The 21,103-nt window shown below is 43.1% G+C and overlaps 1 long non-coding RNA gene across 2 annotated transcripts in view, besides 1 other annotated feature; it reads left to right on the top strand.

The window, feature by feature from the left end:
* The window catches only part of LOC101927872 (uncharacterized), a 53,621-nt gene that overhangs the window by 7,391 nt on the left and 25,127 nt on the right, over positions 1–21,103 (top strand). The window contains exon 3 of one of the 2 annotated variants that reach the window (XR_002956732.2): positions 10,514–11,316. The exons of the other annotated variant lie outside the window; for it this stretch is intronic. This is a non-coding gene — a long non-coding RNA (uncharacterized LOC101927872). Of the gene's footprint in view, positions 1–10,513; positions 11,317–21,103 lie in introns of those variants that run through there. 2 annotated transcript variants of the gene reach the window in all.
* Positions 9,817–10,404: an enhancer, noted in NCBI's record as "OCT4-NANOG hESC enhancer chr8:136452424-136453011 (GRCh37/hg19 assembly coordinates)". NCBI's record gives its function as "activates a minimal SCP1, AML or CMV promoter by ChIP-STARR-seq in naive H9 embryonic stem cells {active_cell/tissue: H9 hESC(naive)}" and the evidence as "EXISTENCE:reporter gene assay evidence [ECO:0000049][PMID:30033119]".

Raw genomic sequence — 21,103 nt, 5'->3', positions numbered from 1 at the left:
CAGATGAAGTTAGTTTCAATAGGATTATTTAATCCAATGTATCCAGAATACTGTTTCAATATATAATCAATAATTTTAAAATATTAATGATATTTTACATTCTTATTTATTTTGACTAAGTCTTTGAAATCTGATGTGTAGTTTGCACCTACAGTACATGTCAATCCAATGTAAAATTTTCAACACCTAAGGTAAAATGCGGTTCTATCCAAACTATAAAATTGTGTTTAATGAAAAAAAAATCTTACACTGCTTCCATTTTAAAATTTAACTTTAATTAGTTAAAATAACATTAAAACCAGTTATTCACTAATGAGAGCCCCAATTCAAATGCTCATTAGCCACATGTGGCTGGTGGCTGTGGTACTGGGCCGTACAGATTATTCTGGGACGTGGATTAGAAAACACACCTGTAAGTGCTTAACCAAATAGGCTCACCCTTGTCTTACCCTCCTCCCCATGAAGTCCCAGAGTAGGCTGCCCAAGCCAGGGGCAGCAGCTACAAGATGTTGTTGGTGTGCCACGCCCCTGCCATCTTTCTGCTTCATCGAACTTAGAGGGCCAAAATGGGCTGTCTTCATTCCACCATGGGCATCATGACCTGATTCCAGGCAGGAGTAAGGAAAAGGGAAAGAGCTAAAGGGAAAATTCGCAGCACCTGTTGAGTCTGTGCAGCTGATAGGACGCCTTGTTGGAAGCCTCATCAAATGGCTTTTTCTTAAGTATCATTAACCAAACTGTATCACACATGGATACCCTTATTTGCAAGGGTCAGAACTGGTAACTATAGTGTTTTCCCTGGGCACATCGCATCCTCCAACAAAAGTAGAGTTCCTCAGTAAGGAATAGAGGACAATTGATGTTTAGGAAGCAACTGACAGCCTCTATCCGAGGTGGCATCTGCAATTATCACGACCACTTCAACTCCTGGCTCTATTACTGTACAACTACCATCAAATTCTCAGATGATCTGGAGGAGGCACTCACAGTCTTTAAAGAAATAAAACAATAGGGTTGTACATTTTTTGCTGGTTCAAGAAAACAAAACTCCCTTTCCTGTATTGCATCTTACAATTCAGCCAGGTATGACCCAGGGAATCAGAACATACAGGAAAGGGAGGGCAGGAGGATGGGACTGCCTTTCTGAGTGGACTCTGGGTACTAGGAAGGAGTAGAGTCTTCCAGGCAGAACAAGGTGTGGCGTGAGCAGGAGGTCCCTCCTTTGTGGGGCTGAGGGAGAAGCTGTGGCTCAAGTTAGTGCTGGATGGGGACTAGCTGTAAGCAACCAGGAGGGAGACTAGATGGAAGGCAGGTGTGCGCCCCCTGTTGTGGCCCTTTCTTTCTTACAGGCACCAAAGATGTTTCCATGGGCTCAGCTGTAGCTTGGAGGTCTTTCTTGAGATGCTGACTCCCTGTGCTCTTGTCTCCCCACTATGCCTCTGCTCATTGTTGAGCAGGAACAGATGCACTGTGAACCTCAGCATCACCTAGATATGGTCTTGTTTCCTCTTGGAGAGTTACTGAAAACCTAAGCCTCACAGTGGGATCAATATTATGACCATTTCACAGGCCAATTGTGAAGCTGAGATGAACTAATGCACACAAAATGCTCACTTTCCCCCAGCACATAGTTTCCAACAAAACTATTCTGAACTTTTTCTTTTATTTTTCTTTTATTTGAGATGAAGTCTTGCTCAGTCACCAGGCTGGAGTGCAGTGGCGGGATCTCAGCTCACTGCAACCTCCACCTCCTGGGTTCAAGTGATTTTCCTGCCCCAGCCTCCCCAGTTCTGGGAGTACAGGCGCAGGCCACCATACCCAGCTAATTTTTGTATTTTTAGTAGAGATAGGATTTCACCATGTTGGCCAGATGGTCTCAACCTCTTGACCTCATGATCTGCCTGCCTCGGCCTCCCAAAGTGCTGGGGTTACAGGTGTGAGACACCGCGCCTGACCTCTGAGTTTTTTCTTATCATGCTACAGTGAATCTTGTGTTTTCTTTCCTGTATCCTATTATTTCATATATTGGTCAGAATCTTGGCAGGAAACAAATGGTGTACTCAAAAGGAGTCATTAAAGAGAGTTTCATAAACAGCTATTTATAAGGTGTGGGTAAGGCAAAGAGATACAAAGGGAAGAGTTTGGCCGTCTAGGCCACCAGTGGGAGACCTTCTCATCCTGTGCCTAAAGAGGCCAGGAAAGAGCAGATGTCAGAACCTGAGAGAGCTGTGGAGGTGGGAGCAGGCCTCCAGCAGGAGCTGTGGCTGAATATAGAAGACACCAGCCCTGCTGAACAGGGGCAGGTCCAGGAAGGAGCCAAGGCACTAAACACCCTGACCTTACTCTTCCACCCTCTGATCTCCTGTGAATGCCTCCCACTGGCTGAGTTGGAACCGAAGTCAGGGATCAGGGGAGCCCAACTGATGTATTCCATAAAGGCAAGCCTCTGAGGGTAGAGACTGTGGTTGAAAAAGGTTGAGAGTAGATCTAGAGGAGGCAAAGAAGACCAAACCCTTTTGCAATGTGCTGTAGTAAATAATTTTACCTGAAACATCTGGCACTGGCTTACTGGATTTCTACTCTGGTTAATTATGTTTTCTCCCTGCAGTGTTTGGTATCCTCATTCAGGTTATGCACACACGTGGCTTCTGGTTGAGAAGCCAGAGACAGAGAGGCATCCTGGTGCCACAGACAGAGCACAGTTTCTGGGCTCTCCCAGAATTTCACTCCATGCCTCTCTCATTAACTCATCATGTGAGCTAGGACAAGTTAACAGGCCACTCTGAACCAAGCTCTCTAATCAGTATCACGGGAGGAAAAGTGGTCACCTCACTAGGTAGTTGTGAATATTAAAGTGGTGTGTTTTCTATGCCTCTGGTACCCTGTGGAAGCTGTAGACACAATGGCTAGGAGTTCAGGTTCTCAAGGTAGCATTTGTGGGTTCAAATCCCATCTCTGCCATTTTTAGGCTCTGTGTCCTTGGGCTAATTACTTAATCTTTTAGTATCTCAGTTTCCTTATCCACAAAACAGAGAGAAATTGTCCCCACCATGTAATGTGATTGTGAGAAAAAATGTTCAATGACATGAAAAGTAATTGGGACAGTGTGTGGCACTTGCCAACACTCAATGTCCCCAATTATATGTAAAGCACCGAGCTGCACGCAGTGTGTGCTCAATACCTGTTGAACTCCCTTCTTTCCTTCAAGGGAAACGTGAGGCCTGATCAGAACTGGGCACATGGACAGCACCCTGTTGAGCTCTGAGAGAACTTCCTTTGCCCTGTTAGATCCAAGACAAGCAAGTGTTTGGGGCATTGGAGAAGGAATAAAGGATACAGTAGGGCCCATGGATGATGGCTCACAGTCCTCAGGCAAAGGAAAGCACAAGAGCTGCATCCCCGACGCCTCTGCCCAAGAAATAACTGGGTTTCTTCCAAGTATAGGGCTGCCTAGCATAGCAGTTAAGATCCTAACTAAAGAGCCAGCTTCACTCTAGCAGTGTGATTTTGAGCTAGTTACTTAACATCTCTGTGCCTCAGTTTCCTCACCTGTACAAAGAGGATTACAACGGCACCTACCTCATCCTCACTGGAGATGAAATTAGTATATTTGAAAGTGCTCAGAACAGGGCAAGACATATAGTAAATGCTTTATAAAGATTTCTTAAATGCATAGAAAATTCTCAGTTTAGTAAACAAATTTTGCCCAGTTGATTTCCCTACTGTTCAGTACTGGTCTGAGTACTGGCCTCTCTTGGGTGCTGAGATCAAACAAAAATTGTGCTTGACTGTCCAGGATAAAGATAGAAAATGCTTAAGTCAGCAAAATCAAGAGGCCATACATTGATACAAGTCACTCAAATCCACTGTTAACATTCTATAGCCTGAGAATAATTTGATTTTTTAAAACTCTCATAGACAAAACAAAGCCTTGGCAATATTTCTTGATCAAGGGATAATAGAATTAGCCAACTGGAATGAAATTCTTGCTCCGTCTTTACTGGCCTGTTTTTGTTTGTTTGTTTGTTTGTTTGTTTGTTTTGAGACAGAGTCTCGTTCTGTCGCCCAGTCTGGAGTGCAGTGGTGCAATCTCGGCTCACTGCAAGCTCCGCCTCCCGGGCTCACGCCATTCTCCTGCCTCAGCCTCCCGAATAGCTGGGACTATAGGCGCCCGCCACCACCCCTGGCTAATTTTTTGTATTTTTAGTAGAGATGGGGTTTCACCGTGTTAGCCAGGATGGTCTTGGTCTCCTGACCTCGTGATCCGCCCGCCTCAGCCTCCCAAAGTGCTGGGATTACAGGTGTGAGCCACCACGCCCGGCCTTTACTGGCTTGTTTGTATGACTTGGTCAAGTTATTTCACCTTTCTTTGAGCCTCCATTTTCTCACTATAAAATGGGGATAATTCCTATGTCAAATATTCCTACAGGCATATAGCAGTTACTTAGTCAATGGGAGTGGTTTCCTTCTACCTTTCATCTTTGAACGTCTATGAATATGGAGAAAGTCTAAAATAAAATCTAATTTTGGAGACTGAATTTCACAGAAGGCATCAGTTAGTCAAGCATCAACAAGTTTGAAGCCAAATGTACATCGGGGTTTATTTGTTTTCCTGACCAAGCAATGTGTGGCAATGTTTCCTTCCTGTGCTAATCAGAAAGAAGTCTCTACTGTTCTACTTTGAACAAAAGGGCCACTTCCTCGGAGGCATAGCAGGAAATGCAGACTTTGGAGCTCAGCTTTTCAGTGCCAGGTCATGGATAACCTTTAGCAAGTGACAATGTTTCTAAGCCTCAGTTTCCTCAATGGTAAATATTGATTTTACAAAAATATTGGGATTGATTAAGTAATATTTCATACATACCTTGCCTGCACACTGTATGGGCTCAGTAAATGATAATCATCATAGTAAGCTCATGTCCCCTTGAATAAAATTAAGCTTCTCATCAAATCAAACAGACTGTATATATAAAGTAGATAAAGAAAATCATCTCCAGGAATTGCTCTTGCACTGATTTATTTTCTAGATTTTCTAAAACATAGGGAGGAATAAAACATTATGTTCCAAATACATAATGCCACTTCTGTTGAAGAAGCTTTAAGTTTTAATGACATGAGAACAATTTACTTCAAGCAAAGGCCACAGAGATACACCTAGTGCTGGAAAATTTGCTTCTAGACAGGCCTTTAAAATTAGCCGAGAACCTGAGGCTGTGTGGGGAGAGCTGTCGTGGTCAGTCATTTAATAGTTTCTCCAAGATGTCAAGTTTGCTCTCATAACAGGCCCCTCCATTTAGCCTAAGACCCCTTAGAACAAACAAAATCCCTGATTAAAGGATTACTGTGGTCTTGTTTTTGCCTTTGTATCTCTACCTTTCATAAAATAGTTGCCCATCCTCTTACAAATAGCTTTTATTTTATTCTTCTTCTCCTAGTCTCCAACTCTTATTCTCTTTCAGTTTTCTCTGTCTCAATGAATGGCCTCTCCATTATTCAAGAAACCTGAATACCACCCCCTCCCCTTCACCCCCACGGCGACTGTCAGCATTTCCTGTTGCTTTTCCTTCTGAATATTTCTGGATTCACTGCACTTCTCTCTTCCTACTCTCTCTTCTCCACAGTCCTCTCACTGGTCTCATGGCCTCTGGCCTCCCTTTTGTCCGTTATCTACACTGTACCAAGACTGATCTTTAAAAATGCAAGTCTGGTTATTTCATCCTTACTTAAAACCCTTCAGGGGTCTCCAGTGCTGTTGGTTTAGATGAAGACCAAACTCTTTATTGAGCCAGGAAGGCCCTGTGCGATTTGGCCATGCCTAGTTTGACAATTTCCTCTAATATTACTCCAGCCACATAGAACTTTGGGCTTTGGGGAATATATCGTAAATGATTTGAATGGATGCTCTATAGCCTGGAATGGCTCCCTTCTGCTCATAGCATTAAAATTTAATATTCCTCTGACTCTGGCTATTAACCCATTTCCATCATTTCCTTCTACTCATAATTCTTTTCTTTGCACCAAGAAAACAGTTCCTTCTGTGGCTGGTCTCTCTCCCTGGGGGTGGCATAGGCTTATATAGTTTCAAGTTCTGGTCCCTTTGCCAGAACTTCATAACGGTGAACTAAGAGTCAACAGATATTCCACAACCTTAACCTATCTTCCCATCACACATGCACATGCATGCACGCATGCACTTATACACAGATGCACATACATGAGCACATGTGCACATGCACACAAGTACACACACCCACACTGCTCCCCAGATTGCAGCACCTAAGCCAGCACCTGGGCACTTACAAAGCTCAGTAAATCAGCATAATAAATCAGTGTAGTCAGAGATACAGCAACTGTTTCTGAGCACAGAAAAAATCTCATCGCTAGCATCATAACTCCTTTGTGTTCTTTTCCCTTGGTACTCATCTCTATATTGACTCCAGTGTTTACTGACTGTCTATGATGTGCCTGCTACTATTTCAGGCTGTGGAACAAGTTCCCTGCCCTCAAAAAGCATAGAGTCTAGTGGAGGGGCATGCATACTGCTTACTAGCTTTATGGCCTTGAGGGAGTTACTTAGCCTCTTGTGTCCCAGGTCCATTATCTAAGAAATTAAAATATCAGTGTCATCTTCACAGCATTGTTATGGAATGAAATAAACTAACATGTCAGTTGCTAAGAGCTGGCCTCATAAGACTGATGTGAAATATAAGGGGATAATACAAGAAAAGTGCTTAGAATAATATTAGGATGATATCCATCTTTAATAAACACTAGTTTCATATTTTTATTATGGTAACAAAGGAATGTAGTTGCTGATTGTTGTAAGTTCTCTGAAAGGGAAAGACCAAGTGCAATGATAAAGATGATTCAGGGAACATCTCAAAATTAGGTGGAGTGCTGAGGGAAAGGCCCTCTGACGAGGGAACCATTAAGATGTGAAGGAATTGACCATGATGGCCAGCAGAGGCCGAGGGTCAAATCTGAGATGCGGCAGAGCAAAGCTGGGTCTCCGGGATAGACAACTGCGGATCCAACAGCTCTGCAGCTGTCCGGCTGTGTGTCCCCAGCCAGTCATGTCAGCACTCTGAGGCTCAGTTTCCTCATCTACAAAATGAAAACTACAATGTTCATTATATAAAAATGGGGGATAGCAATAACAGAGAGAACATCATCAATGCAGAAGATTTTAAATAAAATAACTCACATAAGTCACCAAGCACAGAGTATCTCACACAGTAGGCATTTAACAAATCACGGGGTGCTCTCTATCTGTCCATCTGCTCTTCTATGCTAAGCATCCTCCAAAATTAACGATTGCCTCCTGAGATCACACACATAACCAGTAAGTCTGGGGGCTTCAGAACCAAGCGGATCTAACTCCAAACCCTCGGTCCTGCCCGCTTCACCAGTCAAATCCAGAATCATCACAGTAGCTAACCAGTGGGTGGAGCACTTCTTCTAACCCAAGCCTTTTTCATGAATGTTCTCTTTACTCTTCACAATATCTCAGTAAAGAGGATTCTATTTTTCCCCATTCTGTTCTTTTCTGAGAACTGAGGCTGTGCTAACTTGCTCAGTGATGGGGCTGCCCATGCATCCCTGAGGAGTTTGTTGCCCAGGGTGTCCCAGCCTGTCTCCTGTGTCCCTGGCCCACGCGTGGACTTCCTTCAGGAGAGGACATTCTCCTATGTGACCAGTCTCCTACACCTATTGTGCTCAGTCTTATTCTTGATTAGTATTCACTTCTTTCAGGAAAGTACTGGATTGCTCCAGGCCACAGAGATCTGAAGTGATCTGAAAAAGCCAGGACCTTAGCCACACTTAGTCCTGATGTCTTTTTGTTAACTTATGAAAGATTTACCTTTTCAAGGGGCTGAAATTGCACCTGCCTCCCTCCCTCCCTTCCCTCCTGTCCTTTCCCTTTTTCCCTCCTCTTTTATTCTTTTTTCCTTTATCTCCCTTTGTGCATTGTACAGATCTGGGGACTTGGTAAATTGTCGAGTCCTGATGACATTGCATGAGAGGCAAGGGAGAGGAAGAGAGACAATTCCAGTGATTCCAGCATGAGTGCATTGCACTGATTCCTCACAGCTGGAAGTAATGTCTGAATAATCTCTGAGCTAAAACAGTACTTTTCCTGAAGAAGCCACGTTTTCTGAAACAAGAATTAAGACAGATTTCTGAGAAGGAAGCTGAGAAGATGTCAAGAGGCCAAAACATTGGGAATGTTGAGGTTGGGCTGGGGGCTGGGGCAGTACTTGAAATTAGATTTTTGTGTAGCGTCTATCAAAGGATATTATCATTCCTGTTTCACAGATAAAGAAATTGAGGCCAAAGGTTATTCAGCTTCTCAGTCGATGAGGCATTGCACTAAATGGTGAAACTTTTCCTTCTCAGAATTACCCCTATATGTATTCATAGCCTGTCTTCCCAGGCCCATCATAAGACTTCCTGAGCTCACGTAACCGCTTATTTGAGCAGGGTCTATGTATGACCATGATCTCTCCTCTTCACTCCACGGAGACCCTATCCTAGGTATGGGCTAATTCCCTGAAGTTCCCCAGACAAAGCATTCATCTTATTATAATGTAATTGTCTGTTGACTTGTCTCTTAGCCCCTGGACTGTGAGCCACTGATATGGTTTGGTTGTGTCCCCACCCAAATCTCATCTTGAATTGTAGCTCCCACAATTCCCACTTGTTGTGGGTGGGACCTGGTGGGAGATCATTAAATCATGGGGGCAGTTTCCCCCATACTGTTGTTGTGGTAGTGAATAAGTCTCATGAGATCTGATGATCTTATAAGGGGTTTCCCCTTTCTCTTGGCTCTCATTCTCTCTTTGACTGCTGCCATGTAAGATGTGACTTTGTTCTTCCTTTGCCTTCCACTGTGATTGTGAGGCCTCCCCAGTCACGTGGAACTGTGAGTCCATTAAACCTCTTTTTCTTTATAAAGTACCCAGTCTCGGGTATGTCTTTATCAGCAGCATGAAAACAGACTAATATAGCCGCATTTATAGCTTGTCTGCTTCATGCTTGTACTCCAGGGTCTGGGAGAGCCACATTTTTCTGCCCTTGTTCTCCCTCCTAAAGGATCATTTTCCTGTCCCCCTACTGACACCACACTCCCCTCCTTCCTCCTGTGGCTCCCTCACACTTGTACTTGTTCCTTCACAACTCATCTTGTTGCCATGCCCTTCCTGGACGCAGTGCCCCTCCACTGGGCTGCCAGAGCTTTGGGCTTCCTCATGGCATGGCCGCCTGCTGCTGGCTCACCCATCCCCTTTACTGGGCTGTGCTTTCCTGGAGGCCAGAGCCCAGAGGTTCTCAGTAAATGTTAGCTGAACAGACGAACAAATGACTCATCACTGTTGTAGCCCTGAATTTGTGGCAAGTATTTCCATTAATAGGTTCAAAAAATACATTTTAATATAAGTGACTTAAGCCATCTGCCTACATTTCATATCCAACAAATTCATACTGGGCTGATTTGTTCTGAGCTGTGGTAGTTTAAAACACAAAAGAAAAGGAAAACTAGTTATGAATAATCAGTTTCAGCATTTAGAAAAAAAAAATGCCTGTAGCTATTATCTGGAGAATTTTTAAGGCGGTGGAGGTGGGGAGAGCTTTAAATACATGGCATACTTTCCTGTACTCATGAGAAGCATCAAGTTTCAGGGCTTTTGCAGCTCCAAGTGTGAAAGAGAATGTGAAATTACTTAATAGTTTGTTATATATCAGATCTAGAAAGTCAATTACGTAAAAAAAAAAATCACATCCATTTGAATAAAAGTGAAATCTATGTGAGCCAAAAAAGGTGTTATTTTTCTTCCTCCTATAACTGGTGTTCAGAAAATTCAGGTTATCATCTCTACGTCTACTATGATCAGAATGTGTCTCAGTCATTCATTCATTTATCTATTCAGCAATCATTGAGCACCATGTGCCTGGCCTGAGGCACAACAGGGAAAGGGCTGTGGCTTCATGGAATCTTCCCTGTGCTTCTCTCTGAGGAAGACATAGATGAAACAAATAAGCTCACACATCAATATGGAAAAGAGAAGTGGTGATAAATGTTCTGAATGAAGAACAGCGGGTGGCCCATTTAACTCAGATGTTCAGGAAAGGGACAGGCTAGAGGGAGAACCCTTTGTCATGAGTCCTCCACCTACCTCACTGGAGGCCTAAGAGCTTGTGACTCATTGTCATAGGCCTCTCTTTGCTTAATTGCTTCATCTTCAAAACGATGGAATATAGAATAAGGCTATTTCTAAGATCTTCCTACCTCCAATGGTCTATGAACTTATTTTATTAAATCTATTGAAATAGACACCCTCTGAATATTTTCCTTTATTCTGATTCCATTATGAATCATTGACAAAAAACAATGATGGTGATTTCATTTACCATCCCCAAAATAATTGGGAATTATTTTTATGCTAAATATATAGATATTTATTTATCTCATATATGTTTTGTTATAATATTTGAAAGCTGCATTCTTCTTCCACAGCATAATTTAACTTTGAAAAGGAGGTTTGTGTTAACAGGAAGAAACACAGAACAAAACAATTGATTGAAGACCTATGAGGATAAAATTTCAAGGAAAGAAAAATATGGCCAAATAACCCACGCTTGTTTTAATGTCTATATAATCAACATCTAGTAGATGATATTTCTGAAATAGTATAAAATTATATTTCATTAGGTAGTCATGTCAATTGAACAGAGTCTTGTCACAGAATGAGTTCTCTGCAATCTACAATTAATTAAGCAAAGAAACAAACTGCTTGAAGATCTGTTGAAGGGTATCAACACCATTATTTTTCCAATACAAAGTGCTTTCCCATCCTGCATCTCATCCCTCTTTTTCCCCCTCTATGGTACATGGCTGCGAAGAAATTTTTAAAATAGGCAGAGTCCTCATAATACAATTTTAGTTATCTCTGGAATGTGTCTCAAATCCCTGAATACGGTCTTCTTCTGCTAATTGATCTCTGAGTTTTCACCGTGGTGGTTTTGTTCTTTGTACCTAAGGCTTTGTTTTAAATTGAACAGAAATTCTCTGATAGAAGTAACTCACATTTTTCCTTCCTTCCTTCCTTCCTTCCTTCCTTCCTTCCTTCATATAAGTCACCAAGCACAGAATCTCTCACACAGTTGGCATTTAGTAATCCTTCCTTCATATAAGTCACCAAGCACAGAATCTCTCACACAGTTGGCATTTAGTAATCCTTCCTTCATATAAGTCACCAAGCACAGAGTCTCTCACACAGTTGGCATTTAGTATTCCTTCCTTCAGTAGGCCTGCCTACCTTCCTTCCTTCCTTCCTTCTTTCCTTTGTTCCTTCTATCCTTCCCTTATTCCTTCTTTCTTTCCTTTGTTCTTTCTTTCCTTCCTTCCTTTTTCCCTTTCCTTTGTTCCTTCTTTCCTTACCTTCTTCTTTCCTTCTTTCCTTTGTTCTTTATTTCCTTCCCTCCTTCCTTCCTTGCTCCCTCCCTCTCTCCCTTACTTCCTTCTTTCCTTCCCTTCCCTTCTTTCCTTCTTTCCTTCCCTTCCTTCCTTCTTCCTTCCTTCTTCCTTTCTTCTTTCCTTCCCTTCTCCCTTCCTTCCCTTCTTCCTTCCTTCTTCCTTCTCTTCCTTCCTTCCTTCTTCCTTCTCTTCTTCCTTCCTTCCTTCTTCCTTCTCTTCTTCCTTCCTTCCTTTTACTGTTCTTTTCTTCTTTCCTTCCCTCTGTCTCTTCATTTTTCTATCCATTTCCCTCTCACTCAAAATATCAAAACATCTCAATATTTTTGGTGGAAATGGGAATAGGGAGCTTGATAAACCATTGCACCTTTGTCTGTTGTGTATCCTCTCGGAGCTGGCAAAGCCCCTGCAGGACTCAGGATGACACTGGGGTTCCCACTCACCCAGGCACGACGTCAGCCATAGATGGGTCTCTTCCTCGTCTCTGCACGGTGCATGGAACAGCTCTTGGTGCCCTCTATTTGCTTAAATAAGAAAGCCAATTGAACTGAATTAAACCCAGACTTGCTAGATGAGAACCACGGAATTTGAGTCTGGTCCCACTGTACTCATCAGGCTGGTGAGGAAATATTTATTCAAGCGGGAGTGAGGCTTTTCTTTTCATGATGTAATGAAAATTGTCAGGCTGACATAAGTTAATATACTGACTTCGATTCATAGTAATGGTGGGACTGTGGGCAAATCGTCTAATTCTCATAGCCTCTGTGTCTTCATCCTAAAAATAGGGATAATAATACTTCATTGGATTACTGTGAAGGTTTGGGATTACATCATAGTCAGGTCTCCTATAGGATCTGACACGTAACAGGTGCCCATTACCTGTTTACAATCAGTAAGAATATTAGCACGTCCACCACCTGGAGGGTGACATTCTGAGTTATAACTCCAAAGCTTGGCATTGTTCCCTGACACGTGGTTGCTAAATGAACCAAATTCCATGCACGTATTTGTTAAGCACCTACTCTACCTGCTCAGGTTTGCCGCTATGTGGGATAGAAGAAAAAGCTAAAAACAGGGCTCTATCCCTTAAGCAAGTAACCCATTATGTTCCGGTAGATAATTTAATCCATCTCATTATTTGGTAACAAACTGGACCAGCTGTAGACTGCCCAGGATGCCAATGAGAAGAAGAGTAAAACACTTTAATCCAACAGCCTGCTTTCTCTGTCTGGATCATTGGTTAAGAAATAAAAAACAATTGCTGCCTTGTCTTCCTGGCTCATCACCAAAAAAGGTAGGACAAGAAAGTCACCAACTGCTTTCCCATTTTCTTACAGGTTTAAAATCTACCACCAAAGCAGTGCACCTTTTTGCAGAATGTTGGCTAAACTAGGAATCACAGCTGCCTACAAATTTCCTATGTGTTTAAATGCACAGTAGAAAAAGGAATGAATGAACACACAGTGTACATAATTCTGGCCTTTCCTGCTTAATTTTCACATTCTGGCCTTTCCTTACTTAATTATCATGTCCACAGGCATTTCACTCATTCACTCATTCTTTTATTCAAGCATTCATTCAGCTAGCATTAATCGAACATCCCCTATGTGTTAGGCACCACGCAAGGCACTTTACCAAGTTACGGCCAGTCTGCATAACAAACCTGTAAGGTATTATTCCCATTGTACCGGTGAGAGGTGAGGAAATGGAGCCTCAAGAGGTTAAATGATTTAACCATGTTTATACCATTACTAACAGGCAGAGCCCAATTCCAATTCCAAAACAGTACCCCTGTAAATAACAATTATGTTATTTAGGATGAAGTGTAAGGGAATTGCCCTCCAAACCTGAGCCTTCACAATTTTTTCCATCTCAGTTCAAGGATGAGTCCTATTTTCCATTGCACAGGCTGAAAACTCTTTTTCTCTCATACTCCACACCTAATGCTTCAAAAAACCATGTTGCCTTTACTTTCAAAATTAATTTAGAATCAACCATGCCTCATGACCTCACGTAGACTCTCAGGAATTGCTGGTCTCTGAACTGTTCCGCTTTTCACCTTGCTCCCCAGATTGTTTCCTCAACTCTGCAAGCCAGGGGGCACCTTTGCAAACAGACCTCAGACTGTGTTCACCTTCCGTGGGTCCCACCTCACCAGGAGTCAAGGCCACAGTCCTGAAAAAACCTGCAGGCCCTTCCTGGCCTGGCCCTCCATTCTCTTCCTGGCCCAGACATCCGGCCCTGTCCTGCCCCCAGCATTTGCATAGAACCTGCCTTCTGTCCTCAGGGATTCTTAGCCACAACTCACTTGGCCTGGGTTCACCTCTTTTGAATCTTTGCTTAAATGTCATCTTCCGGGTCATGCCATTCCTGAGTACTCCAGTTAAAACTGGACCCTGTCCCCCTGCCCTGCTTTATTTTCATCACACCTACTAGCGTTTTTCACCTTATAACATAATATATAATTTACCTTTTCATCTTGCCATCAAGTGTCTTCCCTGTCCCCTAAAATGAGGCTAGCAGTTTTCACCTTCTTTCTCTAATGTATTCCCAGCGCCTGTCACATGGTAAGTGCTCGATACACATGTTTTGAATAAAGGAATGAGGCTGGGCTTGGGGTGCTTTTCCAAGGCACTAAGATGATATTATGGCTGAGGAGTACAGGCGCATCGGAATCTTAGTCCAAGCCAGAGACATCCTTCCAGTGAGATCCACAGGGAGACATACACACGAGAAACACAAGACATACACACAAAATCCACAGGGAGACATACACACAGGAAACAGTATGAGGCAAAACTAAATGTGAGATTTGATTGCCTAGTGATGTGGGCTCCAGCCCCCAAAGCAAAGCACTCTGATAAAATGAGCTAAGCCAAGTGGCCTCAAGTAGGAGTCCAGGGGGTTTCTACTACCCCACCCCCAAACCAGACTGCCAATCTTATCACCTCTTGACCATCACCTGTAAGTCCAGGAAAGAGCACCTCTTACTACTTCTACTGTGGATGTAAAAGAGGAGAGGGAGCGAGAACCCATTTAGAGAGAGAGAGAGAGGAAACAGGGTCACACTCATGTCCTGACCTGCAGGGTGCAGTCGATCACCTGCCTGGAATCTGACCAATTCCATGAGTGGGACCCCCTCCCTGAAAGACAGGTGGGAATAAGGGAGATTCCTGTTCCACTCAGGCCAAATGCACACAGTTTTTATTGTTTTTTATAATTTATTGAGAATAACCATTTTCCTGTATCCTATATGGCCTCATATAGGACTGAAGAATAAGAATTTGTGGGCAGAAGCCATTGGTGTATGCTCCTCAAAACAGAGGAAGTTGATGGCTTATTTTATCAGTGTAGATAATCCAAGAGAAAAAACATTTAATTCAAAAGAGACATCTAATCAAGTTGCCCTACACCCTCAGTGGACCTCCATCACTCATTGTGATGCTCTCAACTGGGAGAGCTTAGCAGCATGCTGAGCAGGACACAGCACAACACAGAAAGCCCTCCTGGAGTATGGGTTGTGTTTAATATTAGTAATTTAACATAATTGTTAAGTTAAAGCAAATACTGGGATATTTTGGTCTAGTGTGCAAACTTTACATTTTTAAAAGAAAACTTGACATTTCAAACACATTTTTTCACTTTGGTGGGTTGTTTTGGTTGAGACATTTCTCAAAAGAAGACATATAAATGGCAAACAGGTATACGAGAAGGTGCTTAACATTATTGATCATCAGAGAAAAGCAAATCAAAACTACCATGCCATATCATCTCACCCCAGTTAAAATGGCTTTCATCCAAAAGTCAGGCAATAACAAAGGCTGGCCAGAATGTGGAGAAAAGGTAACCCTCATACACTGTTGGTGGGAATGTAAGTGAGTGTAACCCCTATGGAGAATAGTTGGAGGTTCCTCAAAAAACTAAAAATAGAGCTACCATACGATTCAGCAATCACGCTGCTGAGTATATACCCAAAAGATGCAAAATCAATATATTAAAGAGATATCTGTACTCCCATGCTTATTGCAGAACTATTCACAATAGTCAAGATTTGGAAGCAACGTAAGTGTCCATCAACAGGTGAACGGATAAATAAAATGTGGTATAGATACACAGTGGATAACTATGCAGCCATAAATACAATGAGATTCTGGCCGAGGGTGGTAGCTCATGCCTGTAATCCCAGCACTTTGGGAGGCCGAGGCGGGTGGTTCACAAGGTCAGGGGTTTGAGACCAGCCTGACCAACATGGTGAAACCCCATCTCTACTAAAAATCCAAAAATTAGCTGGGCATGGTGACAGGCACCTGTAATCCCAGCTACTCAGGGGTCTAAGGCAGGAGAACTGCTTGAACCCAGGAGGCGGAGGTTGCAGTGAGCCAAGATCGCGCCACTGCACTCCAGCCTGGGTGACAGAGCTAGACTCCATCTCAAAAAAAAAAAAAAATATATATATATATATATAGAGAGAGAGAGAGAGAGAGAGAGAAAGAGAGAGAGAAAGAGAGATTCTGTAATTTGCAACAACCTGGATAAAACTGGAGATCATTATGTTAAGTGAAATAAGCCAGGCACAGAAAGACAAATTTCACGTGTTCTCACTTATTTGTGGGAGCTAAAAATTACAGCAATTGAACTCATGGATATAGAGAGTAGAAGGATCATTATTAGAGGCTGGGAAGGATAGTGGGGTGGGGGTAGGAAGAATAGTTAATAGGTACAAAAATCTAGTTAGAAAGAATGAATAAGACCTACTATTTGATAGCACAACAGGGTGGCTACAGTCAACAATAATTTATTGTACATTTAAAAATAACTAAAATAATCTAATTAATTGTTTTTAACCCAAAGAAAGGATAAATGCTTGAGGTAATGGATATTCCGTTTACCTTGATGTGATTATTAAGCATTGAAAGCCTGTATCAAAATATCTCATGTACCCCATAAATATATACACCTACTATGTAACTCCAAAAATTAATAAACAGAATTTTTTTTAAGTAATTGCTTAACCCCCCACCCCCGCACCCCCTGCCACACACAGACACAAACTTATTGTGAGCCTTGAGGTTTTAGGAGGCAGGGGTAGCCATCTGTGAGAGCCAGTCAGACCACCTGCATTCAAATCCTACCTCTGCCTCCTCTTAGCTCCCTCACCTTGCGCAAGTTACTTGACCTTCTGGGGCCTGGGTTTCCTCATCTGTGAGAATGGAACCAATGATAACAAGCTGTACTGCCTTAGATCAGGGCAGCCTAGGCCATGCTCTGGAGAGCTTTGTTCTGGCCTCCTCCAGCCACATCCTTCTCTGGGGACCGGGGCACGTTTCACCGGGATCCTCCATACCCGCTGCCACACCACATTCTAGGTGTGAGGAGCTTAGGAATTCCTGGCCTAAGTAGCCTCTAACCCATGGCCTTGCAGGGCCCACACGGCTTCTTCCCTGGCCTGTCCTTCTCAGGGCAGACAGTGCCATGACACTCCTAGGCCTGCAGGGTGTCCAAGGGGCTGCTGATTGCAACAGGTTTCTGGACTGAGCTTCAACTTGTGACTGGACAGTCCATGCATTGAATGTCTGCCCCCTCGTGATAAGAGACAGACTAAGGATGAAGACGAGGTAAGGGTCTCCCTATGTACTGTGGCCCCAGGCCTGTCTCATAGGTTGCTGTGGGTATTAAATGGGTTAATTCACAGGACATGTGCTAGCAGTCGTTAAGTTGGCCCTTAACATTGCTCTCCATCCCTACATGTAGGGATCAGTGTGTGCATGTTTACATCTTCCTGGAGGACACTGACTCAGTCTGCTTTCTCCTCCCTGGGCCCAGAAACCATCACTTGCTTCCTACCTGGCTCCCCTGGAAGTTTCCCAAAGTTTTCTGTCTTCACAAACAGCAGCTTTGTCCTCTTAGAAAGAATCTTTAGGCCCTACTTTCAGAAGTCCATTCTAGGAAGGCCCAGATCCGAATCGCTTCTGGAGTGATTTTTCCCATTGCCAATGCTTAATTTATTTTCCAAATGGTTCCCCAAAGTATCCTTAAAACCACAAAATGCCGTCTGCAGTCCTCCTCTGTTCCAAGAATGAGCATGAATGCTGGGAGAGGCCCTGTGTGCTATGCAGAGGGAAGGTACACAGATCTGTGGCTCGGCCTTACCCAGCCAGTGGCCCTTGCTCCTCTGCCTCCCTCCCTCTCCCAAGGCTGGGCTGCCTGGTGCTTCCACTGTGGCCTTTGGCCTGCTTCTTGGTAATGGGTTTCCTGAGGCTGCCTGCCTCCCTGCCTCATCCAGGATACCCTGTCACTGTCTCCACCAGTCTGTCTCATTGTCTATGCAAGAAACTCTGGACACCAACACTTGTCTGCTTCTTTTTTCCTCTGGCCCCCACCTTCAGCCTGCTCAGTGGACATCTGGAGCACCTGCCAGTCACTCTGGGGACCCCAAGGACTCCTTCATCTGGAAGCAGAAAGAGGCAGAGTAGGGGCAAAGCTGTGCTGAAGGTCAGGCTGTGATGAGAGCAACACCTTGGTTGTTGAATGTTCTGGGACATCTAATGCCCCTTCCTGTGATAAACTAACCAAGGCAGTTGAGTGCTGTAATTGCCAGTCAATGGGCTCCTTGAGAGCAAGCAGGGGCTGAGTGTCCCACTGACTGCTGCATCTCACTGCCCCTGCACAGTGCTAGCACAGGATTGCTCAGTGAATTTGCTAAGTGAATTAATCCACAAGTGCAGCATGTAGAAAAACAAGTTTTTTAAGCTAAAATTACAAGGGCTATGTATAGAAGGTGAAAGCATTATGTGGAAGGCCTTTTGCTCTGCTTGTTGGGTTTGACAGGATAGGTATGTGAGGACATGCAGGGGGTGGGAGCTGAATTATTCTGTGTAAAGGAAAGAAGAATCCAGAGTATCCCAGGACAATCCTGGGGGGAATAGTAGGGAGCAGGGATGGCAGGAAGGAGGGCAGGTGGGAAAATAAGATAGCTGGGAGTTGTGTGGTGTGCAATGCTATCCCCATCCCCCACACCTGCAGCACCAAATCTTCAGTAAAGTTTACCAAACTCATGAATGCTTATTATAAGTGGTGTGTGTGTGTGTGTGTGTGTGTGTGTGTGTTTGTGTGTGTGTATGTGCGTTTATTAGTGAGGGTTCTCCACAGAAACAGAACCAACAAAATGTATCAGAGAGATACAGAAGAGAAGATATATTATGGGAATTGGCTTACACAATTATGGAGGTCAAGAAGTCCCACATATGCCATTTGTAAGCTGGAAACCTGGGAAAGCTGATGGTGTAATTCAGTCCGAAGCCAAAGGCCTGAGAACCTGGCAGCCACTGGTGGAAGTCTCAGAGTCCAAAGTCCTGAAGAGCTCCAGTGTCCAATGGTAGGACAACGTGATTGTCCCAGCACAAGGCGAGATAAAGGTAATTTGTCATTCCTCTGCCTTTTTGTTCTATCTGTGGCCTCCATGAATTACATGTTGCCCACCCACATTACTGAGGGCAGAGCTTCTTTACTCACTCTACTAGTTCAAATGCTAATCTTTTAAGAAACACTCCCTCAGACATACCCAGAAATAATGTTTTACCAACTATCTGGGCACCCTTTAGCCCAGTCAAGTTGACACATAAAAGTATCCATCATAGTATGTGTGCTTGTGTGTATGTGTATTTGTGCAAATGTGAGCATATGTGTGCTCTGTGTACATGTGTGCATTTTGTCTGCATACATGCATACATGTGTGTTTGTGCATGCATGCAGAAATTAGGAATGAGCTTGCTTTCATGTTGAGGTCAGCATGATGTAGGACAGAAACAGCACATAAAATAAGAACATAAGAGGCTGAAGAAGCTCTGAGAAAGTGAGCCCCCTAGACTTAGCAGAAATTGCATAGGAAAGTGCTAGATTTCCATGAGGCGAGGGAAGCAGTGGAAATATGTCTGACTATTGCATCCAGGTCTCTTTGGGTCATGTGAGTAGAGAAGCCACTACTGATGCTCAGAATTAACCTGGACCCTTGCAGAGAAGACAAGGATGAGCTCACAGAGCCACAGTCTCAGGACAGTGTGGATGGGCACGGCCAGAGAGCAGGAAAGGACTGCAGATGGCCCTGGGATAGAAGCCTTGTGAGAGGGGTGGTCTTGGGTGTAAAGGAGAGGGGTGACTAAGGAGGAGGCTTGTCATCACATGATTTCTTTGGTCATCCCCCTTCACTAAAGTCTCTGCTTCTCAAAACAGATACAGGGTCACATTCATCTCTGTGTTCCCAGGATCTATTAAAGTGACTGCTGGCATCAAGGCACTAATAATTGTTTGTTGAATGAACAAATTAATGGAGATGTTTTTGCATATAAAATACGATATGTTGCTTAAAAATTCAATTGGTGCTCAGCTTTGCAGATGCACATCTGTTTCAATAGTTAGCTATTTTAATTACATTCGGCTTTTTCTGTGCTGCATTTATGAAGCAGACTGTGGCAGTAATAAAATTAAACTAATCATAGTAGAAAGCTAAATAGGATTATCCAAGGTAGATTTTTGACCCTCAATTATATGATATGGCTACCATCATTCAGAACGTATTAAGAGGCAGTGTGGTCCAATAGGGAGATCAAGTCCCTTAAAACAAACCACCTAGGTTTGAATTCTAGCTCTGTCCCTTATTATCAATGTGAACTTGAGCAAGAATCAAATTCTCAGCAGTTATATGAAGAAAGTAATATCCACCTCCTAGGACGTGAGGCTAGGAATGATGGCAGGAGTACATAAGTGGCACAGACAGTGAGATTACTGCAATTTCAGGTCAAGCTATTCTTGAATCCAAATCTGTAATAGTTGTGAGCTTCAGGTGGAAACAGGTAAGGTTGCTTTAGGAATCTGCTTCCAACTCAGAATCCAAGTACCATAAATAACAGGAGACCTGGCTTTGCCTGGCTTTAATCCAAATCCCGTGGCCCAGTGTTCATCTAGAGTCAGTATGAAGTCTGATCCCAAGCACTGAAACAATATTTAATATCAGCCCATTGTGCCACTGAATTCTGCCATAATCTGTTTTCAGATTTGCTGAAGTTTTCTTTCTGATTTTATCAGCAATTATCTCAAATGAAATTGGCACTTGGCAATTGGATTACTGGATCATTGCCTCTCTTATCCTAGTAGATGGTGAAAAGCAAATGCAATTTTCGCCAGTTACATGTCAACTACTCCATGTTGCCATAGGAAAAAGAAGCTTTGGCCTAGAGAGATGTGGTAGGAAAGGACCTGGATGGAGGAGAAACCTGGATTCTAGCTCTCACTTCAAGCATTTCTTTACATTCATAAGATATAAAGGGCCTGAGAGTTTTAATCTATCAGCTTTTTACTGTTTTTGTAGTCCATATTCATATTAATCAAACTTCCCACTGCTAATGATAATTTGTGCTTATATAGTAAATGTCAATCCTTTAAGACAACATTTTGCCATGCTTTATCCTCCCAATAATTCTTCAGGGTAAAAAGATTAGATGAAGAGTCTGGATGCTAGAGCCAGAGAGAACTGGATTTGATTTTCACTCTAGCCCACAATTGCTTCGTTTGCAAAATAGAAATTACAAGTCCTTATTGGAAAACTTGTTATGAAGATTAAAAGAGATGGTAATGTAC

This window comes from Homo sapiens, chromosome 8 (genome assembly GCF_000001405.40).
Source record: "Homo sapiens chromosome 8, GRCh38.p14 Primary Assembly".
In the NCBI taxonomy this organism is placed as follows: Eukaryota; Metazoa; Chordata; class Mammalia; order Primates; family Hominidae; genus Homo; species Homo sapiens.
The sequence above is the reverse complement of the archived record's forward strand: the minus strand, read 5'-3'. Positions and strand labels throughout refer to the sequence as shown.